This window comes from Homo sapiens, chromosome 3, assembly GCF_000001405.40.
Source record: "Homo sapiens chromosome 3, GRCh38.p14 Primary Assembly".
NCBI classification, from domain to species: Eukaryota; Metazoa; Chordata; class Mammalia; order Primates; family Hominidae; genus Homo; species Homo sapiens.
In genome coordinates, this window is record NC_000003.12 from 122,676,763 (window position 1) to 122,694,402 (window position 17,640).

Here is a 17,640-nt window from a genome sequence, read left to right on the forward strand (position 1 = left end):
GTTTCATGATCTGAGGTCAGTGTAGCAACCAAGAAGAAAGGTGAGATTAGATGTCTGAGTAAAACTTCTGGAAATATCTTTCTGTCTTTATTATTCAAGAATTTAATGGAGATGTGTGTGGGTGACACAGACAGTTCTGGAAGTGAGCCCAGAACTCAATGAGTTCTTTCAATTTTCAAGTTGGATTCTGACAGTTTTTGTTGTTTTTCTTTAAATTTGATTACCACATTGACTCTGTAGCTACATTTCCAGGCAGTCCATAATCCAATAAAAACGTCCTGCCTCAGGCTTTGATGGATCTAGGACTTGGAGCTTTTAGATAATAAATATCTGTGATATTTGTAATGGTGTGCCACTGTTCATCTCTTTCCAACTCGGCATTCACTGAAATCACACTGGGAACTTCATCAGCTGTTGTGAGAATATTTACATCATGGAATTGAAAAACACTACACATCAGGGCCTGAGTCGTTGCTTTGTTGGTTATCTTGACTTAAAGTGATGGAGAATTTGCTAACAGGGCAGATTATTTAAAAGTGGGTCACATCTATAGCCATTACATTGTAAAAAGCACAAAAAATTGAGGAAATATTCTTCCAGTATTTGAAAATTATTATCCAATTTAGTAAAGAAGGAATTATGTCATTGACAAATAAGGGTTCTGACATGTCTGCATTGCTTCACTTTCATTTTACTTGTTAATGTAAACAAAAGTGTCAACTTACATTTATGTCAAAACTACACTCATTCCTCAATGGCAACCATAGTTTGCCTATGGCTTTAAAAAAAAAAAAAAAAAAAAAATATATATATATATATATATATATCCAACACAAACTTTATTGTTAAATGAGTTATGTTTGTCTTGCACTAATAAACTTTTATTTCACCCAAATTAGAGCAATAATCTTCCATACTTAAGTATCTTCCCTGCCCAATAATTCAAAGAAACAAAATCCAGAATGATTAGTATAGATATAATTGTGGCAAAAATCTTTGAAACATTCTTTGAGAATCAATCAGCTATTTAGAAACTACAATAGAGTATTATATATTTTGTTATTATTTGTAAATTATGTGTTATCCAACCATTATATCAGTAAAATTTATAATAAACATAACACACATGGAAACTTTGTTTCAAAAATCTGGTTGCTCAATATTTAACAGCCATTACTGGTAGGTGTCATGCATGATATAGTGTGGTAGTAAAATATTGTGTGTTTCTATTTAAAAAAATATGATCTAGATTATACTGAAAATGAATGCTTGTCTTGAGACATACACATGTGTGTTCAATTCAATGGTTACCTAATTGCATGATGAGGAAAGGTCTTTACACAAACACGGAAAGATCAAGTCTACTCTGGACTCTTCTGGAGAAGCCACCTCCACCTCCCACTCAACCATAGTATTGGTGAAACGAAATTACTTCTATTTGGGAAAATGCATCAGTAGTAATTACTGTCCTGGCCAGTTGAGGGGTATGGAGACTGTCCCTATGGAGGTTTGAAGATAAAAGCTCTTGAAAGGTACCTGAGCATAGGGAGTAAGGCCAAAGACTGTGATGTGTCCATCAGGGGGCTCCCTCTGAGGGTAGAACTTCTTGGAGTACTTTTCCCTTGATGTATGGCCATGTCTTATTTTGGGGTGACTAGGTCAGGAGTTTCAGAAGCAAAATGAGGTGGAGTGGTGGGCATGAGGTACCTACAACTCACTGATTCAGGACAGAAGGGAAAGCAGCCCTTTCCCTCCTTTATACCTCAATGGTAGAAATGAGGAGGCTGATGCTAGTTGGTAGAGAAGTTCAAAAGAGCACGATGCTAGGCTACGGCAGTTTGTAGAGAAACCAAAAGGGGGAATTTAGATGAAGTAGGGAAAGGGAAGTTCAGCCCAAAAATGCAGACATGGGCTGTTACATTAAGATGAGCTGTAGCTGTGAAGTAGAAGGAGAATCAAGGAACACGGCCACTTCTACAGCAGGCCACCCCCACCCCAGGCCCTGAGAAGACACGTGCTTCCCAGGAAGAAAGGATCAGAAGGCAGATACCCACAGGAAACAGAGAATTGTGAGAGGATACGCATTCTTCAAGTGAACAAGGCAAAAATAACTTGCAGAAAACAAAGTACTGCAGGAGCTAATGCCGTTCAACAATTTGCCCCTTCTAGAACTTTCTTTCCTTGGCTTTCAAGACCTGCCATCCTGATCCTCTGATAGCTCCTTCCCAGTCCACCCAGGCATGATAAGCAGACCTCGGTGGTAAGACACATTGTCGATAATTAAATAAATCCTCGAAAGTAATCCAGAAATGCCTCTGACTTTATTTCTTATACAATAATTATGTGAGGAAAAAGGGAAACTTTTTGCTGAGTTCTGGAACCCCAAACTCAGGGGAGAGTGGGAGAGGAGGAGTGCTGATTTTAGTTGTGGTTTGGGATGAGATGTAAAGGCCCTGGGGAGAAACAGTCACCAAGTCTGGCTGAGGGCGCTTGTCCTCCCGTCTTCCGCATGCGGGGGTCCAGAGCAGTTTTGGATCAGATGATGAGCGCCATCTGCAGGTAGCAAGCTGGAGGCAGGAGAAAATATCTGTGTACTGTTTAGGATTATTACAGAGCCGAAATAAAAGCCAGGTAAACCATTTGGCCCATCTCTGGTTCTCTTCATTCTGAAATTCAGCCCGATCCTGTAACCCCACAACCTACTGCCTGGCTCCTTCTTCCCCTTCACGGTCACATTTCTGCAAAGAGCGTGTTACGCTCTCTGCTTCCACTTCCTTCCCTCCCTTTCAGTCTTCAGTAGCTGCCATCTCCCTCTCCTCCCTCCTCACCAGGAGACTATGCTTGCCGCTCCTCAGCAGTCCAGCAGACACTTCTCTGACCTGAGGTATCGGTAGCACTGGAATGATAATCCCCCCGCCCCCCTCGACTTGCAACACTGCTTTATTTGGGGTCAAGGAAACACACAGCCCCAGCTTCTCTCCCATCACTCGGCCTCCCCTCTTGCAGATGCCACTATTATCCAGCCACTTGCACGGGCCATCCATGGCTGACCATGGAGTCATCCTTGAGCTTCTCCTTCTCTCAAGGCTCACATTCTTCAGCAAGTCCTGCTTTCACTATTAATTGAGAATCCTCGTTTTCTCAGTTCTTCTCTGCCAGCACCCCAGTCTCAGCCACCCTTGTCTCTCACTTAGGACACTATGGTAGCCACTTGGCTGATCTCTCTGCCTCCACTCTAGCCACCACGCAGCAGCCGGAGTGATCCTGTACATGTGAATCACACCGTGGAACCCCACTTCCTAACCCTCCAAGGCTATCCCCTGATATCCTGGGGTTATCAGGTTACATGTCACCGCCCTATAAACCCTCCCTGAGCCGCCACAGCTGGACTAGGAGCCACTCCTCATCTGTTCCAGGAACACAAGTATATTCTTTCCCAGAGCACCTATTGCCCACTGTGTTCACCATAGCTCCGTGAGCTCAGCGAGGGTTCAGTGAGTGAGTGCATGGCGCCTAGTAAATATTCCACAAAAAAAACTGTGAGTGTAATTGTTTCCCCCACATTTCTAGACATGTAGTATTAACAGATCAAGGAACAGAAAGCAAAACAGGGAAAGCAACGTAAAATTCTGATAATCACAATGATTGCTGAAAAAGTCCCCAAATAGGCAGCAAACATTCTAAAGGGGCCACAGTTTGTGAGTCATTTTATTCTTTTGTAAAGGGTCGGCTTGCGGCAAAAATTAAATGATCTTTGCGTTTGGGCAAGGTCTGGTGCCCCAAAGCTGCCGACTTGATCTGCGGTTGGGGCGAGCGGCAGGTAGGGGGCCCGGAGTTAGGAGGGGGTGTGGGAGCCCGTGGAGCACAGGTGAACTGAGGCCGCCTTCCCGGGGCGCCGCTGGCCAGCCCCAAAGGGTTACTTTGGCCTTGGCTGTGGGCCGAATGCGAAGGTGGGGAGGTGGGCGGGGGATGACTCTGCCATTCCTGGGTCCGCTGTGTTAGGCTGAAGGCAAAAGGAAACCAAGGCCTGGGAGTTTTCCAGGAAACGAAAGCGAAAGAGTCAAAGTTAGCGGCCCGGAGTTGGCGCGGCCCCTGCAGTCCGGCGGAGAGCGGAGCTGAGGATGGCTGTGCCCGGCTCCTTCCCGCTGCTGGTCGAGGGCTCCTGGGGCCCCGACCCCCCGAAGAACTTGAACACCAAGTTGCAGATGTACTTCCAGAGCCCGAAGAGGTCGGGAGGCGGCGAGTGTGAGGTCCGCCAGGATCCCAGGAGCCCATCCCGCTTCCTGGTGTTCTTCTACCCGGAGGACGGTGAGGGGCGCGAGGGGTGGGGTGAGGAGGGGGCACCTCTGCCCTCCCTCCAGGGAAATGGCGGCAGGGCACGCACGGGAGGGTGACCCGCCCGACTTCGGCGGCTGCTGTAGCGGAGGTGGCCGGGGCGGGGGCGGGGGCGGGGGCGGCAGAATGGATTCCGAGCGCACCCGGGGCGCTGCGGTTCCCCGGCGCCCTGCGCTTCCAGGCGCTTAATGGCGCGGCCCGGAGGTGGCGGCGGAACCGCGCAAGTAACTCTTTATCCCTCGATCGTTTTCTGTCTTTCCCTGTTGTGGTGGTGTTATTGTTTGTTGTTGTTGTTGTGGAAGTGAGTCTATCCTCTTATCATCCTTTTCTGTCTTTTCCTGTTGTTATTATTCTTGTGTGGGGAAGGAAACTGATTAAGAAACGTGGCAAGTCACAGAGATTCCTTGTGGTTCTTGGAGATTCCCAGGGGTCCCGGGGTCACTTGGGAGAGGGGCAGAGGCGCTACCTAAAATCACACTGCCTGAATGTCAACGTAGAGCCGTCACAGCGGCCACATTGGAGGGGCTGTCGATCGACCACAGGTGCCCATTGTCGAGGGCCTGCCGGGGCCTCTTCTCCGAGTCTCTAGTGGCCCTCAGATTGGGAGCAAGGATGATATTCTGAAGTGATTGTGGGTTGGGAGATTTGAGCTTTGGAGGGAAAGTCGGCAAAGTTCCCTCCTTACAGACCCACCACTACTTGGTGGGCCAAGAGCCCAGAGGTGATCTGCTGGCTCAAGGGCCTCCCTGGTCTGCAATGGGAAGCCAGTGACCTGCAGCTCCCAGAATGGGCACCTTTTCCACTGGCATCTTATGGATGATGACCTATCGGGATCTAGTCAACCCCTAATTCCGCTTTCATGTCGCTAGATTTGGAGAAGCATTCGGGCCAGAGGAGAGGCAAGGAGGCTGAGGCTGAGGCCATGCAATTAGAGTGCCCAAGCAGGGATCCAAAAAGGAAAAATGAAACAGAAAAAGAATGGCGCACAGAAGGAAGGAAGGAGGGGGACAGGAGATATGCTTGGCTCATGGCCCTTATGAAAACAAAATACCATGTTTTCCTAGGATTAATTTTACCAAGGAGTGCTCAGAAGGGCAACTGTGTGATATTAGTCATTTCTCTTTTGGGTGTCACTTTTCCTTGAGGGTTTTCCCCACTTTGACTTCAGAGGTCAGCATCACCATCGATCTGGCCCTTAAGGATGCTTCTTTCTCCTTTAGATTCCATTATCCTTAGAAGTAGGTCTGACCTGCATCTGAATCACCTGGAGAGCAGGTTAACCAGGCACCTTCCCAGCTCTGTTTTAGAGATTCAGGTTCAGTGAATGTGGGGTGGGTGGGAAGCGTGTATTTAACCGGCAGCCCAGGTGACCCTAATGTGTTCAAGTTTCAGAATTTCCGTAGTTAATGTTAACCCCAAATGAACAAAAAGAAATAATTATACAAATTTAAACAGCATGAAAATACAAATAGCACAAAGTATAATTTTGTGATGATAAAATAACTCAATTCTAGCCCTCCAAGCAGAAAAGATTTCAGTCTTCCTGCTGGGCTTCCATCCTTGACCGGCCCCAGCCCACTACTCCTCTTCCTCCACCCCCAGGCTGCTCCAGTGGCCCCTCTTGTCTTACCCCCCAGCACAGATGACCCAAAACTTATTAAAACTCAAAACCGGCCGGGCGTGGTGGCTCACGCCTGTTAATCCCAGCACTTTGGGAGGCTGAGGCAGGTGGATGACGAGTTGAGGAGATCGAGACCATCCTTGAGCAACATGGTGAAACCCTGTCTCTACTAAAACACACAAAAAAATTAGCCGAGCGTGGTGGTGTGCGCCTATAGTCCCAGCTACTCAGGAGGCTGAGGCAGGGGAATTGCTTGAACCAGGGAGGCAGAGGTTGCAGTGAGGTGAGATCGCACCACTGCACTCCAGCCTGGCAACAGAGCAAGACTCCATCTAAAACAAAACAAAAACAAACAAACAAAAAGAAACAAACAAACAAAAACAAACTCGAAACCTAGTATGGTCTAAGTTCTTGGGGGTGGAAAATCCCTAGTCAGTTTCAGTTTCCTACTTGAGGAACCACTTTCTCAGTAACAAGGGTCAGGAATTTGCTAACAATGAATGACCTACGCTTGAAGTCCCAGAAGTGCATTCTTCTTCTGCAGAGGACACTCTCCACCCTCCATGCCAGGAAGTGGCCTCAACAGGTGCGGGCCCATAGCATAACCTGATTTGATTCATATAAACTGTAATAGGCAGATAACAAGAATGAGCCCACCAGCACTTCTCCGTATTTATTCATGTATAGCAAATAGAAACAAATGGGAAGCTGTATCTCACTTTTATATAGTTCACTGGATTTCTGAAAAGTTGGTGTAAATTGACATAACATTTTAAGCCCTGTTTCAGATGTGTCTATTTTATCATACTTTACCAACATAGTTTGGTTCCTGGTTGTTGTCGGGTTCCTTGTGGTAAGAACCCATCTTCTCCTTAAATAAAATTAAATGTTGATGATCTAAAGTTGGTGCAGGTGGAAGACTGTCCACTTGGGTAAGGGAGGTTGGACATCAGAGTTTCAGCTTTTTCCTCCCAGATTGACTTTCTCCTTTTTGGAGATCATATACCCATATTATTACCAACTGTTCTCCTGAAATACTTGTGCCCATAAATATTGCCCACAATCTGAGAACAGACTGGCACATTTAGATGCCTAGACAGGACTTTATCAAAGTCTAGGGAATAAGAAAAGGACTGTAACACAGAGGTCCATGACTCTAAATAACTTGACTTACAAAATTTAGCTTGTTGTCAGGCTGCAGGGGTCCTATCCAGTCCTCAATCCCCACCTTGGTTTAGTAAAGCCCTTCAGGAGTTTGTGTGGAAACATCTGCCCTCCTCATAAAGAGTGAGATTAGAAGCTGGCGTTCCTTCTCAGGTTGTTTCTGAGGCCTATTTCTGAGTTGGCATCCAATTAAGACCCCACTTCCTCCACCCTCTTCACAGAGGGTTGAGGTGGGAAAGCTATCATGCTCCTATTCATGAAAGATTCTGATCTATATCCTTGGCCTCATCAGGCCAGCCATATCAGAACACAGCATAGTGACCCAACATTCATGCTAGAGCTACACCTGTGACCTGTAGGGCACTCTCAAAAACTCCTTTTTTCCCTGACCTCTTTGTACTATCTGACTATGTTGATCATGCCTCCTCCTTGAAACTCACTTCTTCCCGTTCTTCATGGACTGAGATATGCTGATTTTCTTCATATCTCTCTGGCTGCTCCTTTTTATAATCGTAACTCACATCTGCGTAGTTCTTGAGGATGTTACAGTGTGCATTCATGGACACCACTTTAAGTGAGGAAACTGAGAGTTGAGAGAAGTTAAGGTATTCACTCAGCTATTTGTGGTAGAGTTGGAATTCAAATCCAGATCTTTGGACTCTATGTCCACTGTTCAGTTGTTTCACTACAGCCAAGCTGCCTGATATGCTAATCTATTAATTTGTTCATTTTTTTTTTTGCAAAAATCTCCCCCTTCTTTTATACTCCTTTTACTATCAGATGTGAGACCTGTTTCTAACTAGGCTCCTGCTTACAGCCACCTAGCCACCTTCCTAAAACGTGACTTTCATCATGGCATGTCCCAGTACCCAATCTTCACTGGCTCCCATTGAAGGATGCTTTAATTTAATTCACTTCAATATAGAATAAATATTGCTACCTTTTGAGTACCTCCTGAGTGTCAGGTCCTGTACCAAGTTCTTTATAATGTTTCTTCAATTTAATACACGTGGCACTCATACAAAACAGTCTCCATTAACCTTACAAATAGACAAGAAAACTGAGGCCTTATAAGTATGGCTTATTAGGGAACATGCTCAATATTAAAAAGTCAGTTTAAGGAAGAAATTCAAATCCATGTTTGCTTGCTAAACTTTTCCTCTTTTACTTCACATATAGCCTCTCTTGAGAAACCGACCAAGCCATTGATTGATGGTAATGCAGCCCACGGAAATCATAGAATAATTTTGTAAATAAAGATTGCTTGTCATTTGTCTTTTTTCCCCCCTTTGGACATTTCAGTTCGGCAGAAGGTTCTGGAGAGAAAAAATCATGAGTTGGTATGGCAAGGAAAAGGAACATTCAAGTTAACTGTCCAGTTACCTGCAACCCCAGATGAAATCGATCATGTCTTTGAAGAGGAACTTCTAACAAAAGCAAGTAAACTTTAGGCATGAATAAAAGGGATTTAGGTCTCCCAAGGTGTGTGAGATGGGAATCACCATGAAGAAAATATAGTGGAAAGAAAAGCATGAAGCAAACTGCAGCGAGAAAAGCAGATTACAAATGTAGGGGGAGTGAGGGCAGTGGTAGGGTAGGGTAGTATGGGATAAAGTAGGAGGGGGTACTTTTTTTTTTTTTTTTTGAGACGGAGTCTCGCTCTGTCAACCAGGCTGGAGTACAGTGGTATAATCTTGGCTCACTGCAACCTCTGCCTCCTGGGTTCAAGTGATTCTTCTGCCTTAGCCTCCTGAGTAGCTGTGACTACAGGCATATGCCACTATGCCCAGATAATTTTTATATTTTTAGTAGAGACGGGGTTTCACCATATTGGCCAGGCTGGTATCAAACTCCTGACCTCATGATCGGCCCACCTAGGCCTCCCAAAGTGCTGGGATTACAGTCATGAGCCACCGCACCCTGCTGGGGGTACTTTTTATGTGATTTTAGACACATTTGGAAAAGCCAAGATTTGGGGATTATAATAATGGTGGTTTTGGATGTAAAATTTGGGGTCTGTGTCTCCAGAGTTCTTTATAACCTGTAACCTGTTATATTTGTTTTATTTTCTATGTCATTTTGAGGAGACAGCAATCCATACTACCTGTATTAAGTATTACCCCAATTGTAAAATGGAATAGTAACATTAATGATCCAACAACAGATTGCAGGATTATTGTGAGGGTTGAACAAGATGATCTGTATAAAGCACATGACACAGTTCTTGTTATATATAATAAACACTCAGTAAATGTTTTATTTGTATTTGTTTTATTTATTTCTTTTTTAGAGGCAGGGTCTCACTCTGTTGCCCAGGCTGGAGTGCAGTGGCATGATCATGGCTTGCTGCCTCCTTGACCTCCTGGGCTTAGGTGATCCTCCTACCTCAGCCTCCCCAGTAGCTGGGACTGTAGGCACATGCCACCACACCTGGCTAATTTTTTGTATTTTTTGTAGAGTCGGGGTTTTACCATGTTGCCTAGGCTGCTCTTGAACTGCTGGGCTCATGTGATCCACTTGCCTTGGCCTCCCAAAGTGCTGGGATTACAGGTGTGAGCCACCACACCCGTCCTTAATTTAATTTTTATCTTTTTTAGAGACTGCTTTCATCTGTATCCCAGGCTGGAGTGCAGTGGCACCACCATAGCTCACTGTAATCTTGAACTCCTGGGCTCAAGTGATCCTCCTGCCTCAGCCTCCCAAGTAGCTGGGACTACAGGCATGCATCACTATGCCTGGCTAATTTTTTTTCCTAATTTTTTTTTGTAGAGATGGGGTCTCACTATGTTGCCCAGGCTGGCCTTGAACTCCTGGCCTCAAGCGATCCTCCCACACTGGCCTCCCAAAATGCTGAAATTACAGGTGTGAGCCACCAAGTCCAGCCTCAATAAATATTAAACAAGGGAAAAATTATGAGCTAAGATGTTTCTCTGATGTAGGATGTACCTCATATTCCCAAATGCTTGGTGTTAATTGAGGTTTCTGTTATTTGTGTCTCATCTTCATTGGTGATTTTTGTGACTTGCAAGTGAATATGCCACTATATATGGCCCCAGATGTATTCAAGAGCACCCTTATCAGACCTTTTCATTATTGTTTCTATTTACCCTCCATCTCCAGGCTGGTCCCAGGGACATTTTCTTATGTAAATAAATTGTTAATCATGTATTAATGCTACTTTATTGTTTGTGTTTCAGGAATCCAAGACCAAAGAAGATGTTAAAGAACCAGGTAAAATCTCAGTTGAGATGACTCTGACATTCACCAAGCTGTTTTGCATTTATTAAAGGCAGCACTTGAGGGAGTCAGCCCTCTCTTCTTGACTTCCACTATGCAGGATGTGCTCCGCTGGGAGCTGCCTTGGACTGCATCATCTTCATATTCTGAGCCAGCTGTGCAGAGGGTGGCTTTTAGCGCTCAGGTCATAATGATTGGAACTGCTCTCTCTGGGGACTGGAAGACACCTTGCAATAGAGGGGAGGGCAAAGAAGTGCCAGAGAGCTGGGGATGAGCTGATCTTTACTTTCCACTTGTGCTGAGCCAGCCATAGAGAAGCAAGGACACGATATGTCCAAGGGAGTCACATGTGGCTTAGTTGATGAGCACTGCTTCCTGAGCACTGGGTGTGAGGGTGCTGTGCTCTGGAGCCAAAACAGGAAGTTGTGACTTCTCTGTGAACATAGGCTTTTGAGCATTGGTGCAGGATTGGATTGGAGGATTGCAGTCCTCCCAAAGACAGCAGCTCTTCTGATCTCATCTGCTCTAGGAAACAGCCAGCGACCAATTAGCTGTTGTGGACTCCAATGCTCAACTAGCGTCTGGGCATTGAGCTGCCATGCCACTTGACATTCACTAAAGAAGCAACTAGTTTTCATAGCTAAGCATGCTATTATAAAGGGTAGGAAGTGAACTACACTGAATGAACCGAGCTAGAGAGATAAAGTGGTACATATACCTAAACCTTAAGGAAAATGAACAATGTATAATCATTGTCCTGTAATATTGAAATTATCTTGAGAACATGTAGTTTTCTGCAACTTTCTCTTTTGGAAAATGGCACTAGAGTGAGAGCTGCCTATATTTGGCAAAAAGATTGGATAGAGATATATGGCTTATTTTTGTCTAATATCGATGTCCTGTTAAAACTGTAGAATTTAGTATGCATGGCTTTCTTAGGCAGCTCAGGAGTTTTATGAAATAGGATTTTTTTTTTTGTCTCTTTAGAGTAATTCCTGCTTTCCATTCCTCACTTGTCGAACTGGCTCCCCCAGCTCCCAGTGTTTGTCGTTGGGATCTCCTAAATCCTTATCTTCTTCTTGGAAGATGCCAAAGCGCTATACCGTCAAGCTCAACTTCAGACTAGGAAGTGGTTTTATATGTGCATATTTATTCTTGCTCTATAGCCCTAGATCTAAAATTTAATCACATCTGTGTTTCTTATGACTTCATAGATTTTTACCTTAACTCTGTCTTAACTGACATGTTAGTACTGTTTTAAATTTGCTTAAAACTCCCAAATGTATTCCCAGCGAAAGCCCCAGTCCCCTTCCACCAATAGACTTTTCATTGTCCTGGGAATTTTAGGCCCATTTTCTAACCTGTTTTTACCCGACCTGGACTCTAAGGATAGTAGCCAGCTAGGAATTTGGGTTGTCTACACCAGATACTTAAGTTGGCTCCTTTAAAGGAAGCAGAGGTTCTTTGCTGAATGGTTACCCCACACTGATCCCTGACTATGGCCCTAAGGCTGGGACTCTTGAAATTAATTGGAATGGGGTAGACAGTTTCAGAACTGAGCAAAGTGTGGGTGGAGAATAGGTACTGACTGGATTCTGTTTCTCAGGGATGGGGAACGTACTCTCCGGACAATGAACCACAACCAACGCCACCAACCAATACTCATAATTAATAATTACAACAGCCCTGGTGCAGAAGACATTGCACCATGAATGCACTAAGCATGCCCGAAACCTCATGCAAAAAGTTTAAAACTGAGGCGTCTGCAGGAGCTGACAGGGCAGGGAAAGGCACACACACCAAGATCAGGTGAAGTCAGCACTGAGCTAATGTCCTGTTCCAGGATAAGCTTAGTTGGGCTGGGTCTGAAAGGTGGAAACCAGCACTTGGAAGGTCCTGGAGAAGAGACAAGGGCAAGAGCAGAGAAATACTGCTTACCTGTGGTCGGAAATTCTGGTGTTTTCAAATCCATATCCCCAGCCTGGACTCCTCTCTCAATTCCAGAACTTCTGTCTGACCTTCCTGTTGGGAAGTATATTAGAGCCAACATGCCTGAAGCCACATGTGTCATCTTCCTCCCCAAGCAAGGGCCCTTTCTGGCTTCCTCATTTCTCTTGAAGTACACAATCAGTCTGCTCGTCACCTACTAGACATTTCACGCATCACTCCTTTCACATCTGCTGATCATAGAGACCTATTTATTTTATTTTATTGTTTTTGGAGAGAGGGTTTCATTCTGTTGCTCAGGCTGTCTTGGCTCACTGCAGCCTCGACCTCCCTGGCTCAAGCAATCCTCCCACAGCAGCCTCCTAAGTAGCTGGGGCTATTATAACATGCATTACCATGCCCAGCCAATTTTTAACATTTTTTGTGGAGTCGTGGTCTCACTATGTTACCCAGGCTGGTCTTGAACTCCTGGCCCCAAATGACCCTCCCGCCTTGGCCTCCCAGAGTGCTGAGATTACAGGCATGAGCCACTGCACCCAGCCTCATTTTCTTTTAAAGTTTTCCTTATCCATCCTTCTCTCACCACGGGCCCTTCCTTTTTACCTCACAAGTTCAACATGGCAGGAGCTCCCTGCCTGCTCTGTCTGTGTCTGCCACCCTTCTCCTTAAACCTGACCAGCCCTTTGCACTATTGCTAAATAGCCTGCCATCCTTTTCATGGAAACCTTCCATGACTCACCCTTACCACAAGCTGGGAGATAAAGTCCAGACCACCTTCTGGATCTAGTCTGCTTTTCTGGCCTCATTTTCTTCATTCTGCACAATTGTGCGCCTTTTGAGCCACATCAGTCAAATCACTGTTTTCTAAATTGTCTGATGCAGTTGCAGCACTCTGCCTGTGCTTCTGTTGCTCACCATTCCCTCTAGCCCACTTTTCTCTACCCAATTCCACATACCCTTCAAGACCTGCTGAACTTCCTCCTCTTCTCTCAAGTCTTTCCATGCCAGCCCAGCCCTTTTATCTCTTTCTGGGACTCTTGGCCTGATTGTTAATGCTCTTTTTTGGTCAATTAAGCCTTTCTTGTGGTGAAGCGTCTAATATTGATGGGATTATAAAACTATATTGCTGGAAAGATTCTTTCAGTCCAGTTCACTTAGTCCTATACCCTCATTTTATGATTAAGAGACATGCCCAAGGTCACATGGCTAAAGAGTGGCAGCAGGGATTAAACACATATAGCCTCCTCCCTAGCCCAGCAGTCATTGTGATTTGTCATACCTGTCTCACTTAGTGCTAATTTATGTAGTTGCTTTATGCTTAAGCTATTTTTTTTTTAATTTAGCATGAGTGTGTGTGCATGGCATGATAGCCAGCACACAACAGAGTGGTCTAACTGTTGTAACAAACAACCTCCCAAATCAGTAACCTAACACAACACAAGTTTGTTTGTTTATTTATTCATTTATTTTTCTGAGACGGAATCGCCCAGACTGGAGTGCAGTGGTACAATCTCGGCTCACTGCAACCTCCGCCTCCCAGCTTCAAGCGATTCTCCAGCCTCAGCCTCCTGAGTAGCTGGGATTAGAGGCGTGTGTTACCACACTCGGCTAATTTTTGTATTTTTGGTAGAGACAGGGTTTCATCACATTGGCCAGGCTAGTCTGGAACTCCTGATGTCAAGTGATCCGCCTGCCTCGTTCTCCCAAAGTGCTGGGATTACAGGCATGAGCCACTGCGCCTGGCCACAACACAAGTTTATTTCTCCTTCGCATCACAGTTCAGTGTAGTTGGCAGCTGTGATGGTGGTGGGAGTGTCAGTCACTTCATGTGGTCATTCAGGGACCCAGGCTCCTTCCACCCTTTGACACCATTATCTTTAAATGTGGTTTCCAAGGTCACTGCAAGGGAGAATGGGGTTTCATATTAAGGATATTTATATTGGCCAGGCCTGAAGGTGGAATTCACTTCCACCCATATTCCATTAACTGCAGGGACACTACTGTTGAAACTGAACTGCAGAAAACTTGAGAAATATTGTCCAGGAAGTAAGCAAAATGGATTTGGTGCACACAGAGCATTTTATGTGGCCACTGCGAACATTTACACATGTCATTTTCCTCATATACCTCCATTAGAAAATCTGTAAATTTCTTAACTAATGTTTTTTTATATTCTTACTTCTCCTTACATCCAGGGTCTTGAACACGATAAGAGTCCCCATTGAAAAACTGTCCACAGAATGCCTAAAGATCAGATCGTACCCACCATGCTTCAGTGGACAAGCATACAGTGAGACTGACCTTGTGTGTATGTGTAACTCATTTTTACAGTCAACAGTGGAGAGGAATGAGTCAGCTGGGTGATTGCCATTCAGCGGGCTTCGTATACAGCAGGCCTTGGCCATTTCACTTTCTGTGTGTATTCCTTAATCATTTGCTATAGGGATCCTTTTTTCTTTTCAGTGATGGGAACTTAACTATTTTTTGGAGTATAATGTGTTAGGTGATACCCATGTTTGGGCATCATCAGATAGTCTTGCTTTCCTCCAGTGACCCAAGCAGTAAATCTCCAATTCAGCAAACATTTACTGAGCCTCAATTATATACCATATGCTAGCAATACAAGGATGAATAAACATGTGTCTCGCTTTTGAGAAGCTTTGTTGAATAATTTTAGTCTGGTGCTGTGCTAGAAATAGATATCAAGTGCTAGGAAATATAAGGCAGGTTCCTCAAAAAGGCCAGGCAGAAAAGGGTATAATAAAATTAAACTTCAATTATGTATAATTTTAATATAAAATTCACATATAAAAATAGTCCTATAATGTAAATTGTTCTATAAATGACTATTTACTTAGCTAAGTAATGTGAATATTTTTTCTTATCACTAATAATTTTGGACAAATTTTTAAAATTCATTTCCACAGAGGTTAATATATGTACCCACCAGCAATAAATGAAAATCTTTTTATCCCTATAATGCCTATAATCTTGAAAATACAGACCTATTTTGTCAAAATGAAAATTTAAAAATATGAATTTTAATAATAGGCAATTACATGTTACATGTTGTTTTTATTTAAATAAAGCAAAAAGCCATCCAAGGTCTGTTATTCTGTGAGTTAGCCAAGAGATTGGCAAGGAGAGAGGGCAGTGCCTTGTGATAACTTACTTTGCTAAGACCATGGTAGATAAGTATAACATCTTGTACCTCTTTTGTCTTCCTAAAATCAGATGTGTCAGAAGAATTGGATACAAAACTCCCTCTTGATGGTGGATTAGACAAAATGGAAGATATCCCAGAGGAATGTGAAAATATTTCCTCTTTGGTGGCATTTGAAAACCTCAAGGCAAATGTGACTGACATAATGCTAATCTTGTTAGTGGAGAACATAAGTGGCCTGTCTAATGATGACTTTCAAGTGGAAATAATAAGAGATTTTGATGTTGCTGTTGTTACCTTTCAAAAGCACATAGGTAAGATGAAGTGACACTTCCTCTGCCTGTCTTCTTTGTACCACATCATGAGACTTGAGATACCTCTTAGGGGGACATCTCTGAAAGTTTGACTCTTTCTAGTAGCTACTAAGAGAGGTTTCCAAGTTAATATAGTTTTTTTTATTTTGAAAGTGAAGCATATTCATATTGAAACCAAATTCCATATTTTTAGTAGAATTAACTTTATTGCAGGAGTGCCCAAGTGTGTGTGTGTGACTGAGAGAGAGAGAGAGACAGGCAGAGAGGGTAAGAAAGTGCGTGAACACAGCAAATAGACATCTGAAGTCCAAGTGATTCCAAGTACAGGAGTCGGCTTTTTCACATGTGTTATCTCACTGGGTGAAGTAAATATTTGTATTACCAAACTGGACTTCATGGAAGGTAATGATAACACACTCTCATAGAGTGCTTACTATAAGCCAGGTGCTATGCCAGCCTCTTTACGTGTATTAATTTATTTGTCCTTTCCAAAACCTTATGAGATTATTATTATTGATCCCCATGTTACAGTTGGGGAGACAAAACACAAAGGTGCGAATGCATGGATGAACTGGGTTTGAACCCAGGCAGCCTATCTCTACACCTGTCCTCTTACCTCTTTACCTGATATGTCCTTAGCACTTTCATGGTCATTCACATATGTAGGTATGAGTAAGTGCGTGTGATGCAGACAATGAGTGCTCTTTAAGGTAATTGTCAGGAATCTGTAGACAATCTCTGAGATTGGGAAGAGAGCTGTCACCACCCAAAACAAGTACATTTTCCAATTCTAAGCCTTCACTATTCCATGGCCATGGCAGTGGAGCGGTTAAGAGCACAGGTCATGGAGTCAAAATTCCAGCTCTGCCATTTAACTAGTTATATGAGGTTGGCCAAGTTATTATCCTCCCTATGCCTCACTTTCCTCATCTATAAAATGGTACAATAATACCTACCTAATATAGTTTTTGTAAAGATTGAATGAGATAATGTTTGAAAAGTACTTAACATAGGGCCAGGTGTAGTGGCTCACGCCTGTAATTCCAGCACTTTGGGAGGCCAAGGCAGATGGATTGCCTGAGTCCAGGAGTTTGAGAGCAGCCTGGGCAACATAGTGAAACTGCATCTCTACAAAAAAAATACAAAAATTAGCCAGGCATGGTGGCGCACACCCGTCCTCCCAGCTACTCAGGAGGCTGAGGTGGAAGGATCACTTGAGCTTGGGAGGCAGAGATTGCAGTGAGCCAAGATCATGCCACTGCACTCCAGCCTGGGTGACAGAGTGAGACCCCGTGTCTGAAAAAAAAAAAAAGAAAAGAAAAGAAAAAGAAAAGTGCTTAACAACTTAACGTAGTACCTGAGACGTAGTAATGACTGAAAGGGAGCTATTCTTATTTCAAATTTATTACTGTTTCTTACAAAGGAAAAACTAAATGGACTTGCTTTTGTTCATCGATCAGAATCTTGAATGCTTAATATGTGCCAGGCACTGGTCTAGGTGCTGTGGGCACAGAGATGAATAATCAGGTTCCTGCCCTTGAGAAACTCATAGCCTGGGGTCAGGGAGGAAGCCCATATGTAAACAAATAAAGAAGGTCCAAGAGAAGAAGCTGTCTCTAAGCTGTGAACAAAAAGCTGTGGGAAATGGGAGGAAAGGGACCCAAACAAGGTGGCTTGGTCTTGCTTCTGTGAAGTTTATATTCATAATGTCCAGAATATATTCCATCTGCTTGACATAGATCTTTCCCTATCCATCTGGTAAACCCCTCTTCATTGTTCAAAACCCAGATCAGAGCCACTTACTCTGGGAACCATTGTCTGATTCCCAGTATTAGTCTTCCCACCTCATTTGATCCCAC

At 43.9% G+C, this 17,640-nt stretch overlaps 1 protein-coding gene across 3 annotated transcripts in view, besides 7 other annotated features; it reads left to right on the plus strand.

Moving 5' to 3' along the window:
- Positions 3,065-3,184: an enhancer, noted in NCBI's record as "active region_20382". NCBI's record gives its function as "activates an Ori minimal core promoter by ATAC-STARR-seq in GM12878 lymphoblastoid cells {active_cell/tissue: GM12878}" and the evidence as "EXISTENCE:reporter gene assay evidence [ECO:0000049][PMID:35858748]".
- Positions 3,588-4,360: an enhancer, noted in NCBI's record as "H3K4me1 hESC enhancer chr3:122399197-122399969 (GRCh37/hg19 assembly coordinates)". NCBI's record gives its function as "activates a minimal SCP1, AML or CMV promoter by ChIP-STARR-seq in primed H9 embryonic stem cells {active_cell/tissue: H9 hESC(primed)}" and the evidence as "EXISTENCE:reporter gene assay evidence [ECO:0000049][PMID:30033119]".
- Positions 3,785-4,184: an enhancer, noted in NCBI's record as "active region_20383". NCBI's record gives its function as "activates an Ori minimal core promoter by ATAC-STARR-seq in GM12878 lymphoblastoid cells {active_cell/tissue: GM12878}" and the evidence as "EXISTENCE:reporter gene assay evidence [ECO:0000049][PMID:35858748]".
- The window catches only part of PARP14 (poly(ADP-ribose) polymerase family member 14), a 50,002-nt gene continuing 36,438 nt past the window's right edge, over positions 4,077-17,640 (plus strand). For all 3 annotated transcript variants that reach the window (XR_007095695.1, NM_017554.3, XM_011512929.3), the window contains exons 1-4: positions 4,077-4,308; positions 8,423-8,556; positions 10,318-10,351; positions 15,539-15,781. Coding sequence is in view for 2 of the 3 variants with exons in the window: in NM_017554.3 (NP_060024.2) it covers positions 4,122-4,308; positions 8,423-8,556; positions 10,318-10,351; positions 15,539-15,781 (598 nt within the window). In the remaining variant the exon portion in view is untranslated. The remainder of the gene's footprint in view (positions 4,309-8,422; positions 8,557-10,317; positions 10,352-15,538; positions 15,782-17,640) is intronic.
- Positions 4,425-4,474: a silencer, noted in NCBI's record as "silent region_14644". NCBI's record gives its function as "represses an Ori minimal core promoter by ATAC-STARR-seq in GM12878 lymphoblastoid cells {active_cell/tissue: GM12878}" and the evidence as "EXISTENCE:reporter gene assay evidence [ECO:0000049][PMID:35858748]".
- Positions 4,726-4,815: an enhancer, noted in NCBI's record as "active region_20384". NCBI's record gives its function as "activates an Ori minimal core promoter by ATAC-STARR-seq in GM12878 lymphoblastoid cells {active_cell/tissue: GM12878}" and the evidence as "EXISTENCE:reporter gene assay evidence [ECO:0000049][PMID:35858748]".
- Positions 6,201-6,280: an enhancer, noted in NCBI's record as "active region_20385". NCBI's record gives its function as "activates an Ori minimal core promoter by ATAC-STARR-seq in GM12878 lymphoblastoid cells {active_cell/tissue: GM12878}" and the evidence as "EXISTENCE:reporter gene assay evidence [ECO:0000049][PMID:35858748]".
- Positions 6,301-6,490: an enhancer, noted in NCBI's record as "active region_20386". NCBI's record gives its function as "activates an Ori minimal core promoter by ATAC-STARR-seq in GM12878 lymphoblastoid cells {active_cell/tissue: GM12878}" and the evidence as "EXISTENCE:reporter gene assay evidence [ECO:0000049][PMID:35858748]".